The sequence below is a fragment of the Homo sapiens genome, chromosome 13 (genome assembly GCF_000001405.40).
Source record: "Homo sapiens chromosome 13, GRCh38.p14 Primary Assembly".
NCBI lineage: Eukaryota > Metazoa > Chordata > Mammalia > Primates > Hominidae > Homo > Homo sapiens.
Genome location: NC_000013.11, coordinates 38344879 through 38365712, shown reverse-complemented (window position 1 = coordinate 38365712; position 20834 = coordinate 38344879). Strand labels below are relative to the sequence as shown.

Below are 20834 nucleotides of genomic sequence, written 5' to 3'. Positions count from 1 at the left end.
GAGACTAGAGGCTCTTAGTATAAACGAGAAGATGAGGGCTTTTGTTACAGTGGGGATGGCTGAGATATTCTGTTAACAACATCAAGAGAATTTTGTGATTGTCTTGATACATCAAGAAAGGAAAATCAGGAGTAACAGATTTGACGGTAAGAGAACCTTAGTCAATTTGAAGGATATGGTTAATAGGTTGGATAGATTGAACTTTTCAAGAGTATTTATTTCAATTAATGGTTTAATGGCCTAGTTTGAGTAATGATTTACCCATCACCAGCACTAACCAATAGAGGGCACTTCCAGAATTTCTGTATTAAAGAAGTTTATGGGCAGCAATCTAGTAGAAAAAGTGGGCTATTAGGAGACTAACCTTGCAGCTTCACTTGCAAAATACACTAAAATTAAAAAACACAATGTCTGATAGGCTAATGAATATGGCGGCATAGTCCCTACTCCCACTACTGGTTGGTTTATAATTAATATCCTAGAATTTTATCATATTTATACCATATATACACCACGTATTAAAAAAGTAAGGCCATTCATTATCATTACACACAGTCAGTACTCTGACATGGAATTTAAGCCTTACATATTTTCTTACTTTTAATCTGCGATTCAATACGCATCTAGTATATCACAGAAAATATATACTAAAAATTTCTCCGTATAATGTGCAGAGTTTGGGTCAAATCATGGGTTTAAATTTCAAATCTCAACTTAAGCCTCTTTCTTTTTCTATAAAAGGGGAAAATAACCTGGAATTGTTATAAAGAATGGGTAAATAAAAATGAAATTATCCGTCAAAATATTTGACACACAGTAGATGTTCAACAGATTTCTTTAGGATGAATTACATATATAAATCATTATTTTTTGTGTGGTTTTATAAATGGCCTCAGGAACACTATCAGTTAACTTAGAATCACTCCATTAAAGTATAACAATGCTTCCAATTCAGGAATACTTCAAGGTCCTCGCGTAAAAAACATCTTTTTACGCGAAGATATTAAGTTTTAATATCTTAATATTGGAGTAGAGGAATTAAATAGGATTGCATTTTCTTCCCACTAACGTTTCTTTTGAACAGCTAGTTCTAAGAAAAACTTATCTAAAGAATGTTTGACTTGAAAAACTTTTTTTTTAAAATTTTTTTAGTATTTATTGATCATTCTTGGGTGTTTCTCGGGAGAGGGGGATTTGGCAGGGTCATAGGACAATAGTGGAGGGAAGGTCAGCAGATAAACATGTGAACAAAGGTCTCTGGTTTTCCTAGGCAGAGGGCTCTGCCGCCTTTCGCAGTGTTTGTGTCCCTGGGTACTTGAGATTAGGGAGTGGTGATGACTCTTAACGAGTATGCTGCTTCCAAGCATCTGTTTAACAAAGCACATCTTGCACCGCCCTTAATCCATTTAACCCTTAGTGGACACAGCACATGTTTCAGAGAGCAGGGGGTTGGGGGTAAGGTTATAGATTAACAGCATCCCAAGGCAGAAGAATTTTTCTTAGTACAGAACAAAATGGAGTCTCCTATGTCTACTTCTTTCTACACATAGTAACAATCTGATCTCTCTTTCTTTTCCCCACATTTCCCCCTTTTCTATTCGACAATACCGCCATCGTCATCATGGCCCGTTCTCAATGAGCTGTTGGGTACACCTCCCAGACGGGGTGGCGGCCGGGCAGAGGGGCTCCTCACTTCCCAGACTGGGCGGCCGGGCAGAGGCGCCCCCCACCTCCCAGACGGGGCAGCGGCCGGGCGGGGGCTGCCCCCCACCTCCCAGACGGGGCGGCTGGCCGGGCGGGGGCTGCCCCCCACCTCCCGGAGAAAAACTTCAAAGGTTGTGCAGTGAGTGAGACTGTTAGCTAGCACCTTCACCTCAGGCTACTTACCAAGCATTGGAAAGTGCACTGTCCAAGATTCCAGAACATATTCTACTTACTTTGACCCCTTAGACCTCATTCTGTTCTTCTACAAAGTGAAAAGGTGGCCTTCTCATTAATTCTCAAACCACCTGCATGGCAGAAATCACCAGAACTCCTGTTTACAGAGGATCTTTATATATTATTACAGATGTAATAAATCAGAATTCAAGGAGTGGTTTCCAAAAATCTGTATTTTTAATTTCCTAGGCGACTCTGTTATCACCCAGGTTTGGAACCTACCAACCTAGCCAGTTACAATAACCCCATTTTCTTCTCAACTTTTTTTTTTTTTTTTTCCGTCTGTAAAATGGACAGGCATTTGCAAGTACTGTTATGTATCACTGAATCACAGGAACAAATTCTGAGAAATGCTTCCTTAGGCAATTTTGTCACTATGTGAACATCAGAATGTACTTGTACAAACCTAGTTGATGTCACCTACTACAAACTTAGGCTATTTGGTATGGCCTATTGCTCCTAGGCTACAAACCTGTAGAGCATGTTACTGTACCTAATACTGTAAACAACTGTAAAATGATGGTAAGTACTTGTGTATCCAAACATAGATAAAGCACAGTAAAAATATAGTAATATGGGACCACGGTCATATATGCGGTCTGTTGTTGGACGAAACATCACTACTATGTCTGTGGCAGATGACTATAAACTAATTTCTCTGACTTATGGTCATTAATCATCTTTGCCCTTTTTTTCTTTACTACATGTATTATATACTGACTCAAAAGGTGTGCTGATTAAGAGCTCTAATAATAAGAACAGACAATATGGTTTACAATATAACAACATGTATTTTCATTAGATATTAATTATAAACCAATAACGCATGTAAACTGAATACAATACTTCAAATCATTCTGCACAAAGAAATTACAGATCACATTTTTTTAATAACAAAATGTCTACTTGTTTAATAAAATGTTTTTAGGAACTTACAATGTTCAAAACCAAAGAATAAAAATATTAAATATATCACTTTATGGCACAGGACAACATAAATTTATTTTTGTAACACAGCAGGCAAATTTTTGTGCTAGAAACAGGATGGAGAAAAATCTAAATTAAAGCAAAAAGTCAGGAAATGGGTGTTCATAAATTCCTGCTTAACTAAGACTCAACATTTATTGTAAGAAACGGGGCCTCTGAACATCAGATTTTGTTTATAAAAATAAAAACTTCCTCCCTGTCTCTGCTAAAAATACAAAAATTAGCTGGGCGTGGTGGTGCATGCCTGTAGTCCCAGCTACTCGTGAGGCTGAGGCAGGAGAAGCCTGGCGACAGAGAGTCTGCCTCAAAAAAAAAAAAACAAAACAAATAAATAAAAATAAAAACTTCCTCAAACATCAGATTTTTTCACCTCAGCAAATACTTTTTCCTTTGATAATTCATAATCCTGCTGTTCATTTGTCACATTTATGAATATCTGGTAATTTCATAAACAACTACCAATGGTACACTTCAAATGCTGATTCTGTTGAATCTTCTTATTTTTTTTCCCCCAATGAACTTAGGGCCTATGATAGAGAAGATACTGAAACATGCTAAGATAATAATTGGTCTTAGAAAGACTTTACAGCAAGTATTTAATGAAAGCCACTACATTTCCAGCTCTAAAAAGAGCCAGACACAATCCCTGCTTCCAGAGTTCACCATTCAGAATACAGGAGGTCAAGCACTGATTCTGAATCATTAATGGGCTTTGATTTCGTCTTTCAAGATTTGCATAGATACTGATTTCTTCCGGAAGGGCAAATAAAATCTTCCCTTACACACATCATTCTTTGGATTCTCATAAGGGGTATTTTGAAGTCTGTATGTTGACAAGGCCAGTAGATACTTTGTTTTCTCTAACTGCCTTCTTCTACTTAAGACTATGTCAAGTATTTTGTTTTCCCTTTCAGTTCTCCCCAACATACACCTTCTGCAGTTTTGTCTATCCAGTCCGCTTTTCTGTAACACTTTGCTACCCCCTTCTGTTCCCCTTCACTGTTTCCTCTGTTGCTTTCCTCCTTAATAGAAGCCTGGTGATCTGGGCTTCCCCATCTTTCCTTTCCTGGCTTCTTATTCACATGGGTGACTGATCTTAGCACTTCCTTAAAAGTTGGGTTTTCAATAAATATAACTCATCAGCACTTCCGATCTGTATTTCCTTGAGCTTTTTTTTGATCTTCAGATCTGTGCAATAATACTCTGTTCCTGAATGCTATTTAGAAATACTATCCTCAAAACACCAGTGGTTTCTTGAAGCTACTTGTTTTAAATGTTGTATCAAAAGAGATTGATAAAGGAATGTATAACTCAGCAAAGGATGCTTCTACTGTAAATTCCCACCATTAAAAGTACTGGATTCTATAGGTCCACCATTAAAAGCTGGTATGGGACACCAATTTATACACATAAGGGTTAGATTAAAATTTTAATTTTTTGGTTGATATTAAACTGAAATTTATATAACTGAGGTCTGAATCTTAAAAAAAGTAAATGATAAAAATTTAATATAGTTAACTGTTCACTGATATGTCTATTCACTTCATCACAACCTATATATTTAATTAAAAATCAAATTATGAGTCTGCAAATCAGATGCTATCAAGCAAATTGCCATCCAGGGTCCATAATTCTTTTTATATTTTTATCTCAGATGAATATATACGATTCAGTAAATTTTAATGTTCCAAATTGTTCTAAAAAAAAAAATTATCAAAAGCTTCCAGTTAACAGTTGGCTAATTCATTTGCCCCCAACGAACTACCTGTTTGTGTTGTGAGGTAGCATCAAAGACTATGATCTTCTGTGACAGTAGTAGCCTTAATTCATACGCATTCCCTCTTCATAGGAAGAGTATGGACAACAAAAAGGGACAGATGAGTCACCTTTCATTAATCATTGACTCCTGGTGTTTTCATAGTATGTTAAATGCCTGATTTCAATTTTACAACAACAAAAAATACCAATATTTATTCTGAAAGGCAATCGTATGTTCCAAGTAGCAGATATTAACAACTTCCAACACGATCTCTAGGAATAATCCGCAGTTCTGAACCATGTTTTAGAAAAACATTTCCTATACAAACAAACAAAACATAAAGTTAGATATCTAAAAATCAAGTTATCTTAATATTCTGACAATTATTAAATATAATAAATGATTTAGTAAACAGTAAAATGGGTACAAAAGCTCAAGCATCATGAGACCCCAATTCCAAGCTTTTTAAGTCTTGTTCCTATTCTCCTATCTTCACAATCCAACATACGCTTAAAATTTAAAATAACACCAGCCATGAAAACTCTGACGAATACTTTCATCAAGTAACTGTGAATAATTTAATCATGAATACTTCCTTCAATACACAATAATATATCTAAGGACAGGAAAAAAAATGTAAATTACTACAAGTGACAAAAATTTAGATACCCTGACATATTTGGGGTCAATTGCCTGATGAGATTTTCTTCATATCAAGGATATGCACATTCAATTTTTAAAGATAATAAAACAAGCAGTATGTTAGAGTTAGCAGTAATTCAAACTACTGTAAAATATTGAAAGTTTCTCGATTAAGAAAAAAAGAAACCTTTGTCTACTAAGTTTAAAGGCATCCATACAATAAAGTGCCTCACGATTTTCAATAAACCTTTTTAATAAAATTATATATTAACAACTACTGAAGTAACAAAAATTTGCAATTTTAAATCACTTCATTTTCTTTATGGCTGAATTTCAACTGCAAGGCCTGTGAAAACAACATAATTTTGTTACAATAAAGAAATACTTTAGAATATAATTTAAAAATAACTACTGCTCTAGAATGAGGTTACATTAAAGCATGCCTAATTTTAAAACTTTAGATTATAAGCCTAAGAGATTACATTTTAAAAATATAAAACTAATTTTAAAAAAGTTTTAGACTTCTTTTTATAAAGTATGAGACTACTTTTACCCTGTCTCCTGGTCAGGACACCAATATATCACCTGTATAAATTTAACAGTTTGAAGATCTGAATGTAGACTCAGCCCCTTGAAATGTAAATGACTATATTTAAAAAAAATAATAGCACTTAATGAATGCTTTCTATAAATAATCCAAGCTATGAAGCACTTTACAGTCACTATCTCACAACTACCTTAAGAGGTAGGTCAAAAAATACTCCAATTAGAAAGCAATCTTATCTACAGACTTTTTGTTATATATAATAAATACTCTTAATGCTTAAGCCACTATTAGGTTTTCTGTTACTTGTAGCCAAAAACATCTACAATCAATATACACAATGAAACAACTTATTACTCAGACACACAGGTAAAGACTGGTATATAATCCCTAAAAAACAGCTCCATTATGTTAAAATACTGTCAAGTGTAATTAGAATAGCTTAACTATTCAGTGTCAATTGACATATATAACCCCACCCACTCCTCTATGAGTTTTCAAATACTCACCAGCAGTCTGTGCAGGATTTATTCCTATTCCATCTAGAAAATAAGTTGTAAAATCACATACATTATTTCTAAAGCTAAAATGGTTAAATAGTAGCAAGGAAAGAGATTTGCCAAAATAGTGCTGTTGTGTATATAGACATAAGCCAAACACTTTAAATCCAAGAACACGAGTGACAATCTTTCAGGTAAATTATCTGTTGAAATCTACTATTATTCTGCATTCATACACATTGCTGGGTTAGACAAAAACGTCTGTCAATGCAATGATCCTGGTAAGTTCTATGGAATATAGGTTATTAATTCTATTTTGCCATATAGAATTAAAAATAATGTTTGTCCTTTCTTCCAAAAAACTAAAAAGCCCCTTAGGTATGCCATGAATCATCTTCGTATTGTTCTAGGTCATAATATCTTAAGGCTGGGAGAGCTCACAAAGTCATTTAGTTCAACACGTTACTAAGTTATGACCTAAAACTTTCCAGGTAGTAAGCCAGCTTTTTTCCAACAGAGAAACACTTCAATGTGACAGAATGCAGAATATTTTAGAGTGAGAAATTCTACCTTATCTAAGTTACATCACGCACATTAAGCCCATCTCCTGTCCAAACTGCACTTGGGCAACGCATCAGCACTCATCAATACTGCATTGTATACTTGAAACACAGTTAAGCCCTCCCTGCAATCTTTACTCCTCATCTTATTATTTCACTATTTTCTCACAAGACTAATTCCATCATCATTGATTATCAGTGTTCCAAGATATTAAGATTTTTAATTATATACCTAAAACGGAATAAAATTCTCATTATTGCAAGCCTACAAGAAACAATTTTCTATCAGGAAAGGTATAGCAAAGATACATTCCTGCTTAACTTTCTATATTCTAAAGCATTTACCAAACAACTTTACTTAATAAAAAAAAAAACTTGCTAAATAAAGTTATTTTCAGTTATAATCTGGCATGAACTGGTAAGGACAAAAGATATTATAAAGTGCTATACTATATCAAAAGCTATATACAAAGAAATGAAAGGAGCTAATTATTAACAATAACCCTGACTTAGTGTTTACCAGTAAGTATATCATTTATGTTGATATACATATACTTGGGGCTTTTTGTATTTAATTTTAATTAATTTGGTTCCTTTTACACCATTTCTATAAATTTGAGGTAATACATAATTTTATAGTGAATTCTTACCATTGGTAATAATTGCACTTGTTGCAGCAGGAACTTTAAACTAAATAGAAGGAAAAAAAAATATATATATATATACACACACACACACACACACAAAACTATAAGATAATTAGCAAGAATGGGGTACAAATACCAATTCTATAATTCTAAAGTAGGATTAATCTTTTAGAATAAGTGAAACTATCAAGGAAAGTACAGCTGACCCTTGAATGACATATGCAGATTTTCTTCTGCCTCCGCTACTCCTGAGACAGCAAGACCAACCCTTCCTCTTCCTTCTCCTCAGTATATTCAACACAAGACAAGGATTAAGACCTTTCCCATGGTCCACTTCCACTTAATGAATAGTAAATATACTTTCTGTTATGATTTTCTTAGTATTTTTTCTTTAACGTTATTGTAAGAATACAGTATATAATACACATAACAAAATACATATTAATCGCCTGTCTGTGTTATCAGTAAGGCTTCCAGTCAACAGTAGGCTATTAGTAAAGTTTTTGAGAAATAAAAAAGTTTTATGCAGATTTTCAACTGCACAGGGGGTTGGAACCCCTAACTCCCACGTTATTCAAGGGTCAACTGGACTATATCATATGCTTTATCTGTAAAAAAAAAACCCTGTATTATAAACAGTGCTTTTGATTGTATTTAGGACACCATTAATTATAAAAGTGTACCTTATATTATACATTACAAAAATGAAAAACCACTGTCAATTTATGCCCAGATCAATGTTTACTCTTTAGGACTTATCCATCAATTTTGTCATTTATAATTCTCTTGAACAGCAAAAAGTACATGCAAAATAAACTGATGAGATTATTCCTAAAATTTCTCCATAGAAATTGCAAGATCTGAACAGATGCTCTCTGTGTTTAATGGGAGGTGCCTACCGAAGATTTTCAGGTAACAACCAAGGCTTGTATTCCTTACATTCCTCTGTAATGATTTGCTGATTTAAAGCTCAAGGATTGCAATAGTCCAATTATGTCATTAGGAAATAATAATTAAGTGTAGATGATGTTACCTAGACAATTAAGTGAAAGCCATTTGGCCAACAGTGATAGCAAGCCTCCCCTGATCTATTTCAGAGATGTTTAAAAAGATGTGTTTTTTAAATCAATGAAATGTGGTATGGAATTTATTGGTAGCTAAAAGGTAGATTCCATCTCTTAAAGAGACCAGCAGTTGCCAAAGTGTGTTTATGTCTTCACAGTTTATGCATTTATCCAACAAATTTAAGCATGTTTGTGCTATGGACTAACTTTATAGATATTATAGTTGAGTTTTGTGATCAAGTTTGGAAAACACATTTAACTAGTGGTCTTCTCAAAAGCCTTTAATATACTCCTAACAGAAATGAAGTGTTTCTCGTATTTTTTGACCAGTAATCCCTGTTCTTCATGAAGTTTTTTTTTTTTTTTTTTTGGTGGTACTAATTTGTGTGTGGTTCTAGTTGTCTGGGAAACACTACTCTAGGCATCTATAATCATTACATATACATAGTTGAGAAAAACTAAAAGCTTATTTTAAATTAGAAATTGAAGAATCAACTTTTAAAATAAGGCCTTAAACATACCTGAGAACAATTATTTGTTATAGTATTATGTACAAATTAATAATAAACACATTTTAATCTCAATGTGGTACACTCTTGTGTCCTTTTAAAGATTTTAAAATTTTTAAAGAATTTCAAAGTGTACTTAAGTAAACTTAAAAATGCATCACAAATATTTTGCACAGGCTGTAATCTCAATAAGAATTTGATCAAACACTCAAATGAACTATATAGGCCTCTCAGATTTCCAAAGCTAGAGTACTACAAAGTTTTTAGTTACCCTACTGATTGAGTCTTTTACATCATGCCCATTTTAAGATAATCTATGTATTTTCTTAGTCACATCCATGTAGTAGCAACCTATAACTTTAAAAACCAAAAGCAATTGCTGACACAGTTTTCCCTTTAGGCAGAATGTGGAAGAAATGGTTAAACCATGAGGAGGCATCACTGGTGATGTAAAATGTAGAATCTATTCCTTTTTGTCCTACAGTACTGACAGGTTTTCTACTGAATGCAAAGTATTCTTTTATGGTCTTCTGTTTTCATTTATTTTCCTCCTCCGATCCCCCATAATTCTTATAATTTAGGGCTCTTTGCAGGTTTCAACAATTCATTACTTACCCCAGTCATGTGCTGGGAAATTTTATTATTGCTTACTAAGGCAATTTTACGAGGGATTTAAATCCAGACTCTTGCTTTCTTGAGTCAACTTTTGTTCTCACTGAATGATTCTACAATGTTATCTTGTGAAAGCCCCTCTCACAACGATCTGAAAGTCATATCCTTTCTAAATATGTAACACCTATGATTCATAATAGTGATCCTTTTCCACTTAATGAATAGTAAATATACTTTCTCTTATGGTTTTCTTAATATTTTCTTTTCTGTAGCTTACTCTACTGTAAGCTTTACTTATAAACTACCTTAATCAATATATATGGTTGTGTGGTGTTTCTTATTCACTACTGTATGTTAAGATTTTCTTCTATTTTAATTAGAAAACCAAGATCACAAAAAATGCCTTTGCATTATAAAGGACACACAATGAGTAACTAAAAAATATAACAAATATTAAATAAAGCTTATATAGATCTACTTCTTAAATCTGGAATTTGTGGATTCTGTTATGCCCCAGACTAGAATATTTCTTGCAAGTAATCTGTGCAGCAAAAAGTAATGACAATGCTATACTCAGATTTGTGTCCCATCTCATTTTACTTATTCTTTCTGCATGAAGAATCTATCAGACACAAAACAAATGCTACTAGTTGGCAGTTTAATTCTGAATGAGTGACAAATAATGTTAGTGATTCCTGACAATACAAGGAGCTTTGAGCACTGATGGATTGGCTGACTTGCCATAAATCAGTGAAGTACAGGGCAGGATTGTGTGTTAAGCTATTTTTTATTAATGTAGTTAAGAAAATTATTTTTCTGTGACTATAAACTTTTCAAAAGATTCTGAACCAAAACGTTTTGATTTGGGTTACAACGTACCTGTTTAGCACTTTTAACTTCAACAGAAAATTTCAGGAAATAATGTTTTTACTCGAAATCACTTGATCAGAGAGGAAGGACAGGTATTAACTACTTCCATTTTGCAGAATAAAAAAGAGGGATTTGCATCATGTCACATAGCTAACTAATGACGCACCTACAACAGGAACCCTAAGTCTCCGAAGTCACATTTGGGTGCCATTTCTAACAGATCAAGCTACTTTTTCAAGTGTCATGTCCAAAAAGTTGCATTATAGATATTTCTAATAATTTTGGATGAAAAAAATTGTTTCTTATGAAACAGAAAATTCAAACATGTTTTAAAAAACTAGAAACTTTTCAAAACAACAAATTTTACTGACAGTCCACATGCTCATATAGAAAATTTGAAAACTATGATAAAGATTCTATGAAATTGCAATTTTGGAATCAAGACTAGTAAAATATGAGTATATAGAATATAATGTGATATAATGTTGCATTTTAAAAAACATTTAAAAATCAGCACCTTTTTAGTTTTCATAAAAATTCTCATAAAAATTCATTAAATTCTTATAATTTTCAATGGTTGCATTAATCAGATATGTCAATTTGTTTAACTCATGCTTCTTATATCTGAAAGTAAGTCTTAACTATCATCCTACTTTTTGATAACATAAACCTAGTAATGAAGCCACATGGAAATGATGGGTCAAAGTGCATGCAACTCTTAAAGACATTTGAAGCATATTGGCAAACCGCATTCCATAAAGGTTGTTCCAACTTCTGTACTTACTTCTTCTGCTGCAAACTTTAAGACTGCTGTGAAAGGTGTACTTTCAGGAACACTGAGTCTGCAAGAAGAATTTTAAAACAGTTTCTTTTAAAGTCACCATTTTCTAAAAAAGCCCCTTTGTTCCTTATTTCCACTACTGTAGCCAATCTGGACAAAGCTGTCTTTTCAGTTTCAAAGTTAGTGATTTTGATTGCATACTACATTCTTTAACTCAAAATAATAATAATAATAATAACAACCCAAACAGCAAATAGCCTTAGAGCTGGGATGGTGCCCGAGCTCCACTTGAGAATTAACCTTTAAGGTGTAGATTTATATATTTCTAACACTTTCATACATGTAAGTCTAGCATATGAACTGCTGTTTGTTTCTAGAGATGGATTTCAAAAAGGTGAAGCTCTCCTTGGTCTTCAGTCCACTTTACCTCCCATCTAAATATCTATGCACTTGACCCAGTAATGTTATCATTTTCATTATAAGTAGAAGGCTACTTGGGAAGCATCACTGGATCATAAAGCTTTTGATGAACCTTCTGTGTACTCTTAATAATCATGTTCAAAATTAGTAGACCAAATTAATGAAAATGCATGAAGTTCATTATGTCAAAATGCCAATAATGAAGTGATTTTTCTACCATCATTTAAAGTGGGCTAAGTAAAATGTGAAATAACATTTTGGAGAGGGATGAGTGATTTTGTTAACTGACTCATATAACGGCAAGTATTTTAAAGATCATGAATAAATATATTTTTTTTTTCTTAATGACTTAGTCCCAGGGTCAATCTGTATGAACTTTCCAATAAAAAAAATCAAAACAGAAATTTACTTTATACCTTAAGAAAACACTTTAAGACACAGTAAGAGGTTTTTAAAACTTCTTTTAAAAAATAAGATCCCTAAGGTAACATAAATTACAATGAGTGAAAACAGAAAACAATCTTTCAAAGCAGAGGAGACTTACAAGCTAACATTTCTCACTGAAACTTCTCTATTTGTCCACCATATTATTGTATTGTTCTTAAGTGTCTCAATACCAGCTACCATTATTCTCATGTATATGCCCAGGCTCCTCACTCAGTCTACAGATCTCTGACTATAAGAATCATTATAACAGGAACAGCATATGGTACCAGTTTTCAGTAATAGAAATGTGAATAGATTTCTTGGCTGCCCTCATTCCACAACTCCAAAATACTATTAAAGGATGAAAATGGGTATCATTTTTACCCTTTCTTTACTAATGTTTTTGGGGGGTGGAAAAAAATAAAAACATATAAAGGATAGCCATTTGTTTAAAAACTAACGAACTGGCAATGTCATAGTTTACAAACTAGGCAACAGTATTTTACAAAGTATTTTTGCAGTGTATATGTAGTTAAGAATCTGAGATTCATTTTCCTAAAACTCTGCATCAATTGGAGAACTTCTAAACCCTTGGAGTTCAATTCACTTTTAAATCGGAGACTTGGAAATGTCCTTACAATATACCTAGATGTCATACTGATGCTCATTAAAATAAGTTTCTATCTGTATATTAAGTTGGTGAGTGTCCACAGACAAGCCAATAAAAACAAATCAAAAATGAAAACATCTTTTAATGCAAGTTCTAACTGGCAGAAAATTAGAAAAAATGAGAGTTACAGTGACTCCACAGATCTTATCTAGATTTAAAGTTGTATTTGCCAGTCATTTCATAAAATCGGTACTTAAATTATCCCAGTGTTTTGAATAAATTTACATTAATGAGAATTTTTGAAGTAAATTACTGGCATCATTTGTTTTTTAAATAAATATATAAACAAAATAATAACATAAATTGGTAAGAATTATTATAAAGACTAAGTCCACAGGTAACTCAAGAAGGGCGAGATTAACTCTGTGGACAATTAGAAAAATCTTTGGCCAGAAGGGGTGGCTCACGCCTATAATCCCAGAACTTTGGGAGGCCGAGGTGGGCAGATCACGAGGTCAGGAGATGGAAACCATCCTGGCTAACACAGTGACACCCCGTCTCTACTAAAAATACAAAAAATTAGCTGGGCAAGGTGGCACACACCTGTGGTCCCAGCTATTTGGGAGGCTGAGGAAGGAGAAGAACTGGGAAGGCGGGCGTTGCAGTGAGCCAAGATCGTGCCACTGCACTCCAACCTGGGCAACAGAGCGAGACTTTGTTTCACAAAAAAAAAAAAAAAAAGAAAGAAAGAAAAAAAAACAAACTTCATAGAGGTGAGATTTTTATTACTATAAAATATGTTGTGATCATGAGACTGCATTCTAAGCACAGAAAAGAACATGTGTAAAGGAAGCAAAGATTAAAAGGGCAAGCTTGTCAAGTACCCAAGTACTAGTTACCATGTACTTTGAAAAGAAAATATAGCACAGATACCCTTGTACACACATTTACACGTTATGTGAATTTTCCACACACACATCCTTATACACATACACACACAACTACACACGCACACATACATACTAAACAACAGTTGTACCTACTAAATTCATTCAGTCACCACATATTAACTGAACTGGTACAATGTTCCAGGCTCTTAATGTTATTGTCCTACTCTATCATTTTCTTCCTTCCTTCTCACGCTCTCTTTCGAGTACATTTGCATATTGATGAGAATAATCCAGTAGAAAGGGAAAAACCAATCATGAGGAGAGAGGGGGCACTGGACTCCATCTACTTTAACCTTGACAAGACTGAAATAGATGGGAACTATAGCTCAAGTGGTTTTTCATAGGAGTGAAGTCATTTTTTCCATTCTAACAGGATGGGAAATTAACGGATTTATCCATGTAGTGGTAGGTTTACATTGGTGTAAAGATGATAGAATTTCCCTCTGATGGCTTGATAGCAAGGGAGACAGCAGCTGTGGAAAGTTTGAAATTTTTAAACAATCTTTTCTGAGAATAAGGAGGAAAATGAGCAAACTTGAAGAATGTATTAAGTACTAGGTACTATTAATTGTAGTCATGAATTTAATGTAAACCCTCCAGTCTGTTATTTTCTCCAGGGGCAGTCAGCTATGTACAGATAATACAAACAGCTGGTTTCAGAGTTGGTGTTTCACTAACCAAAATATGCTGAGAGGAGAGACAGGGCCACCAGAGTTGAGGGTGTTTGCATGAGAATGATTTAAAGGTGGACCAATGGACTCTTAACTATATAAGGAGTAAGGTAAGGAATAGAAGTGGGGATAGCTACAGATAAAAAATCACTGTGATTAATGGATTAAATGAAACGTTGTAGATGAGAAATTATAGTAAATCATGTAGGAGAGAATGTATTTATCCATAAGAGTGCCTGTAAACGACATCTCAGAGATGGAGCAATTATTGGAATCTTAAGGTTCTAGGCTGCAACCATGAACACCTGAGATAAAGTGTAACAGGGATATTTTGGAGATGAAAAGATCAAGGGAGGAAAAGGCTGAGAGGTTGTACGGATCATGGATTGGTAAATCATTGAAATTTATCAGTCAGCTAGGTAGGCCAAGGTACTAATTAATTATGCAAAAAATTCTATTGTAATCCTGTTCTTTGCTACATTTCATGCTACTTCCAACTGCAATAACCTCAAGAGTGTTTACTTAAAATCTATCACTCAACTGCGAAGGATAAGTAAAGGCCCCACATGGATAAACTATCCCCTATCTGCATTTCCCATTCCTACCAAATACTCTATTAAATCCCAGCATAGGAAGGGTGTGATCTGAGTCTCATTACTTTGTGATGCCCGACTGCTGAGTTACTCATACACAACGAAACTCAGAAGCCGCGGAATAACAAATGTTCAAGTAATTTCAAAGTCTTGACTATCAAGATGGAATGTCTTCCTTAACTTCCTCAACCAGCTGGCCAAAGCGGTGAAACGCTTTTCTAATATCCAGCAGATGGGGACTGTTTAAGAATCCCAACAAATTACCAGAACCTGGTCCACCTGTCCTCCCGCGCCACCTGCCCACCAAATGAATTCCGAGGGGAGGTCACTAATCAGAAACACACCCACACCCTCGTGACGGGGCCAAGCTGCCAAGCTGACACTTAGCGAGCAAGTACGGACCTCTCCTCGCAGGCTCCGGTGGGAAAGGCTCCTGGAAGGGCGCGAGCCAGGAAAGTAGATGAAGTGAAGAGATGAAGACTGCGTGGGGTAGTTGTTGGAAAAGCTCGGATCATCCCCAACCCAGCCCCGTCTTGTCCGGCCCCAAAAGGCCCATCTCGGCCGAGCTACTCACACTTTGTACGGCAGCCGTGGGTCCGACGTCAGCGTGATCTTAAAGGAAACCTTCGACCTGAGGAAAAGAGCGGGAGAGAGTCAGGGTCGGGCAGCTGGACCAGGAATTATGGCAGTCGGTAAGCAAACACTTACATGGTGGTGCCGGAATGAATCCAGAACACACGACAACTCCGCGGGGGTAGCACGACTTCCTCTAGTGTGCTGGGGACCGCCCCGCTCCACTCACGTCCACGTCTCCCTCTGCAATCTGGGGACCTCCGAAGTTGTTGCTATCCAACGCACTGCCTGAAAATTGGCCCTAAGAGCTCATGCTAGATGGCGCTTTTAAATTACAAATATCTTGTGCTTTTGCGTTTATATATCTAAGAAAAAAGTATGGATTATATTTATAAGATATCTTTCTAACTTTGGTAATTTGCTACCATATTTTTAGTCAGGCAGAATAAGCGTGGGCATAGAGCGTAGGACCCTAGGTTCCAGTTGGCAGGTTGGGGCGGAAGTAAGGGTATGGGGTAGTCGGATGAAGAGCGAGATGGACTTGGGGCGAAGCTCGGGGCGAGGCCGGGGGCGGGGCTGGGGCGGACGCGCTCTAAAGTTTCTAAGGCAACCTGAGCGCGGAAAAGCTTAATTGGTGCTCCAGAAGCAGGAATTGTAACACTGCTTTATCATTAGTTTTCTTCCGTCTTTCCAGCAAACCAATCCTGTTATATCCTTTACATTTCTCATAGTTTCTCCTTCACGCTTTACTTTCCGATACTGATTTATAACTATTGAATTTCGGTTAAGTAAGAGAGCTATCAAGTACGAATTATCTATGCCAAGACTCCCGCTGGGGTGGGTGAGAAAAAATGAGGTTTCTACGTTTGGGGAACGTGGCGTCTAGTTGGGAAGACACATCTATGAACAGGAGATTTCAGTAATTTGTTATATGGTCTAATTAAACCAGTGCGCTGAGTTGCTAATCACTGACCACATTTATTCAATTTAACAACCAACTTTGAACCCTTTCTATTTGCCCGGCGCTAAGCTAAACTCTGGGGAATCCAAGATGAGTAAGGCAGGTAGGCGTCAACTCTCTAGGATCTAACATCCTGTGTAGTGATGACGGAAGAAAATTGTCCTCTAAACTTTATTACAGATCTAAACCTCTGTGTTTGGAAAATATGCGTCTGTCTCACAATGACTGAAATGCCCTTTTAAAACATTAGCATGAATAGACAAAGGAGGAAGCAGGTAGGCATTAAAATAATGGGGCAATCTAGTTGATCTTTAGAATATGCATCAGATTCTTAAGGAGAGATACTTAAGAGAGGAACCAGGAAGGAACTGTAGTAGGGATAATGGAGATCAAATTCATCTTTACAATAATTTTGCAGCCAACTGATCTTCTATGGTGACATTTCCCAGTGGAGAGAGTTCTGGTTCTGAGTAGGCAAGTAAGACTCCAACATTCTCATGACAGCCATCCTCACTTTTTAAAATAATGGTCTTACCATATATGTAGATGAAGCCAAATATTGATTGACAGATACAGGGATCAACAGTTACAGCCTTAATAGCTGAAACTATTCAATTAGTGGGTGTGACTAAAACTTGTGAGAATAGTAATAAGGATAAAACTGTGATTGTGTCTACCTATTGTCAGCTAGCCAAATAATAATGAAAGAGATGAGTGTACATATTTACAGTCTATAAGACTACATATAATATATTTTGAAACAAAATTTGCATCCTGCTATTTATAGTTTGGTTTCTGCTCATGAATCAAAACGTGGCAAAATCCTAAAGAGAAAAATGGATATTAATCAGAGAGCTTTTATTGTATGTATAAAAAGTGGTGAAAACAGAATTCAGTCCCACAGTGTGACTTTAGTACTCAGATTCTGCTGCTTCAGAAAATACATTTGTATAATATATCAAAATAACATCTCTTGAGATATTAAAAAGCAGCTGTTTCTAAATATTTAGAATTCTTTTTCACCTCAGTCCCCAACTCTGCTTCTCATGTTTGTCTCCTCAGAGTCACAGCATGATTTCTGCAGCCTCCTGAGTTTTATTTTGCTTAGGACAAGAAAGAAATTATAAATGGATTTATTTATAATCAATTTTTTTAACTTTGTGAAGGGATTTGCAATTGGAAAATTTTATAGCAAAACAAGGACCTTCTCTTTTACTGAAAAGTTAAAATGTTGAAGTACGTTTAATGGCTGTAATCAGAAGCAAACTCTGGAGCAAATTTTTGGAGATAATTGGCAATGGAACATTTTAAGACAACAAATAGCATAAATGGCCTAATGTGTTTTGGAAAAGATCCAATTAGTATCATGTAGAGGCAGAAATGACTGTAGAAGTGCACAGTGTGACCATGTTAGACCTCATTAAATGTCAATGAAGCATACCAATATTCTATTTGCAAATGCATATAAATTTCCCATTATTAGAAGAAAGCCAGAAGGAAATTAAATTTACATAAGGACTAAAAAGATTTGCTTCCATAGTCATAGAAATTCTTCTGACTAGTTATTTTTATAGCCAACTTTATTTTTTATATTCCTCTGGATGCCAAAAAAAATTCTTTCATTTTCACCATAATTTGATTGTATTTACGATTATGACTAGAACCATCTGATAGTCAAATTATGTAATCTTGAAACATCTGCACCTGAATAAATCTTAAGGTGTTCTATTCCAAATACTTTATATTACAGGGAACAAATTATAGACTGATCAATTAATAATTGACTGGTATTTTAATAGTACTTTAATTTGTTCATTTTTTTCTATTGCCTTTTCTCCCCTCAAAATCCACTAAAAGGCATTGATATAATTGAAGCAATGATAATAATGACTCAAAATTCATTAAGATTTATTTTTGGCTGGTATTAACCACTTTGTACAAATCAATGACAAAATATAGACTTTAAACTTTGATGCCTTGGCTATAAGTCATAATTTAGTGACAAGAAGCCTTATACAAAGAGGAGAGAGTGGATTTGGTTACAGAAGTACTTGGGAATATGTAAATGCTGTGTTATTTTTCAAGGTAAGGACTAGAAGGTTAGAGAATATTTACATTCCTTTGAGTCAAAAAGAACAATGAAACCCAGGTGAGATCGGAGCCTAGCAAGTCCAGGCAAGCCCTTACAGAAGACTATAGCTCTAAATGTGCTACATTTGATTGTTACAGTTACATATTTTTCCCAAATATTTTCTAAAATTCAGTGAGAAAAAGAAATGACTTTTCTACGAAGCTCATTGACTACAATGTTTCTAAATTTGAGGCTTAATCACAAAACGTGGAATATTTTAACCACAGAATTTGTAAAATATCTTTATTACAAAATGGCATTTTGAACTGTGAAAAACAGGAATTTAACAGTCTGGTATAATTAAATTTTCTCTCTAAATATTGTGCGAATTCTTCATTTAATGGAAACATTACTTTTAGAAAAACTGAAGTAGCCTCTGACAAATCCATTTCAACCATGAGTTTTTTTTTTCCACATTTACATATTTTTATCCTTCCACCAGCTAAATGAGGTAAATATTAATGTTCTATTTTTACTTTTCTCTATTAACTTAAGGTTTTCTGATTCAAGTTGAGATTTTTAGATCCATTTGTAGTTTCTCCCCACATGACTCTTCTTGCAGTTTTATGTAGAATACAGGCTTCAGAGGACTGTGACGTCTGGTCCTTTGTCATCATCTCTCCATATTCTCAGTGATATTTGTGTCCACTCCAAACATCTGAGACACATGACATCTCATTTTTGTCTGGTGATATCACTCCTTTTTGTGTGCTGGCAAGACGACTTTAGGACTGTTTGTTGTCTCTAAGGGATGTAAGAAAAGTGCCCTCTTGTACCACCCTGTGGCTATAGGGAACCCAGAAGAGCTCAGACATCTTTGACTAAAGATAACATGTTTTCTCCCTAGAATGAAGGGAACTTTGTTGTCTTCCTGGGCTTCAATGGGAGCAGGAACTGGGCATCTTTTCTCTGATTCTGAAATTCCCTAGAGATTGTTTCCCTAGGGATGAAGGAATAGGGCCATATTTCGGGGAGACCTTACAATGTTTATCATTTTCTTCTCCTCCTTTCTCCAGCCCAGAGTATTTTTTTATAGACTTTATTTTTTAGAGCAGTTTTAGGTTCACAGCAAAATTGAGCAGATAAAGATACTTCCTATCCCTATATATTCATAGCCTCTCACATTTTCAACATCCTTCAGCAGAGTGGTACGTTTATTACGGATGATGAGCCCACATTGACACATCATTATCACCCAGAGCCCATAGTTCACATTAGGGTTAACTCTTGGTGTTGTACATTTTATGGGTTTAGACAAATATACATTGACATGTATCTACCATTATAGTATCATACAGAATAGTCCACTGCCCTGAAAGTTCTGTGCTCCACCTATTCACCCTCCCTCCTGCTTAGCCCCTGACAACCACTGATCTTTTTACTGTCTCTGTGGTTATGCCTTTTCCAGAATGTTGTAGAATCATACAGTATGTAGTCTTTTCAGATTGGCGTCTTTCACTCAGTAATATGCATTTAGGTGCCTGCATGTTTTTTCATGGCTTGATCACTTATTTATTTTAAGTGCTGAATAATAGTCAATTGTCTAGATGAACCACAGTTTATTGACCCATTTACCCACTAAGGGACATCTTTGCTGCTTCCAAGTTTAGGCAATTATGAATATAACTACCACAGGGAAGTTAGTCTATCTTTATTGCTGAGATGGGCTCAGGGATATTCCCATGCTTTCTCTAAGGTATAATTTAAAACTATATGCAGTCAGGTTTTTTCCATTAGTTTTTGCTATATTCTTCACTGGTATAGGAAGAATAAAACATTTGTGACTTGTTAGTGAACTTTGGCAAAAATAGTTCTCACTTCAGAAGTGTCCTGTAATTAATCCCCTGAAGAATGGCAACTTGTGCATTGAAGACATGTGATACTTTGGGGATGAGGATGGTAGTGGAAGTTCTCATTTCTTTCTAAAGTTCTTAGAGTCTTAATTTATGGATTTATTTTCCCATCTACCTATGGAAGAGTTATTTTATAAGTAAAACATTTTGTAGCAGACATCAAATTGTCTGCTACAGAAGTAAATGGCATATAAATCCACATAGTGAGTCTGTGAAAGCTTCTCTCTTTTAAA

The 20834-nt window shown here is 35.1% G+C and overlaps 1 protein-coding gene across 7 annotated transcripts, besides 4 other annotated features; it reads right to left on the bottom strand.

The window, feature by feature from the left end:
- Positions 1081–1589: an enhancer, noted in NCBI's record as "OCT4-NANOG hESC enhancer chr13:38938261-38938769 (GRCh37/hg19 assembly coordinates)". NCBI's record gives its function as "activates a minimal SCP1, AML or CMV promoter by ChIP-STARR-seq in naive H9 embryonic stem cells {active_cell/tissue: H9 hESC(naive)}" and the evidence as "EXISTENCE:reporter gene assay evidence [ECO:0000049][PMID:30033119]".
- UFM1 (ubiquitin fold modifier 1) lies at positions 2094–15862 on the bottom strand. Of its 7 annotated transcripts, none has more exons than NR_104584.2 (7): positions 15792–15862; positions 15658–15714; positions 11417–11474; positions 10642–10702; positions 7581–7620; positions 6380–6412; positions 2094–5002 (listed from the first exon to the last, which is right to left on the bottom strand). NR_104584.2 is itself a non-coding variant. In NM_001286705.2 (7 exons), coding segments are annotated over exons 1-6 (216 nt in total). In that variant the 5' UTR covers positions 15794–15862; the 3' UTR covers positions 2094–5002; positions 5637–5646. The 7 variants fall into 7 exon arrangements, 5 of the variants coding, with proteins under 5 accessions (NP_001273634.1, NP_001273633.1, NP_057701.1 ...); NM_001286705.2 differs by lacking the exon at positions 10642–10702 and adding an exon at positions 5637–5672; NM_001286704.2 differs by lacking the exon at positions 10642–10702 and having other exon boundaries at positions 15486–15714.
- Positions 15311–15525: a silencer, noted in NCBI's record as "fragment chr13:38924325-38924539 (GRCh37/hg19 assembly coordinates)". NCBI's record gives its function as "represses an EF-1alpha promoter that drives an FKBP-Casp9 reporter gene in an ReSE screen in HepG2 liver carcinoma cells {active_cell/tissue: HepG2}" and the evidence as "EXISTENCE:reporter gene assay evidence [ECO:0000049][PMID:32094911]".
- Positions 15903–16112: an enhancer, noted in NCBI's record as "active region_7595". NCBI's record gives its function as "activates an Ori minimal core promoter by ATAC-STARR-seq in GM12878 lymphoblastoid cells {active_cell/tissue: GM12878}" and the evidence as "EXISTENCE:reporter gene assay evidence [ECO:0000049][PMID:35858748]".
- Positions 16223–16332: a silencer, noted in NCBI's record as "silent region_5272". NCBI's record gives its function as "represses an Ori minimal core promoter by ATAC-STARR-seq in GM12878 lymphoblastoid cells {active_cell/tissue: GM12878}" and the evidence as "EXISTENCE:reporter gene assay evidence [ECO:0000049][PMID:35858748]".

Excerpts from the sequence above, each read along its gene's own strand:
- UFM1 (NM_001286704.2), bottom strand. The coding sequence starts at position 15,598 with ATGATCCGAGCTTTTCCAACAACTACCCCACGCAGTCTTCATCTCTTC. Across the intron at positions 11,475-15,485 it reads ACCGGAGCCTGCGAGGAGAG|ACTCAGTGTTCCTGAAAGTA; the intron begins GTCCGTACTTGC and ends TTCTTCTTGCAG. Across the intron at positions 5,003-6,379 it reads AAATCCTGCACAGACTGCTG|GAAATGTTTTTCTAAAACAT; the intron begins GTGAGTATTTGA and ends TTGTTTGTATAG.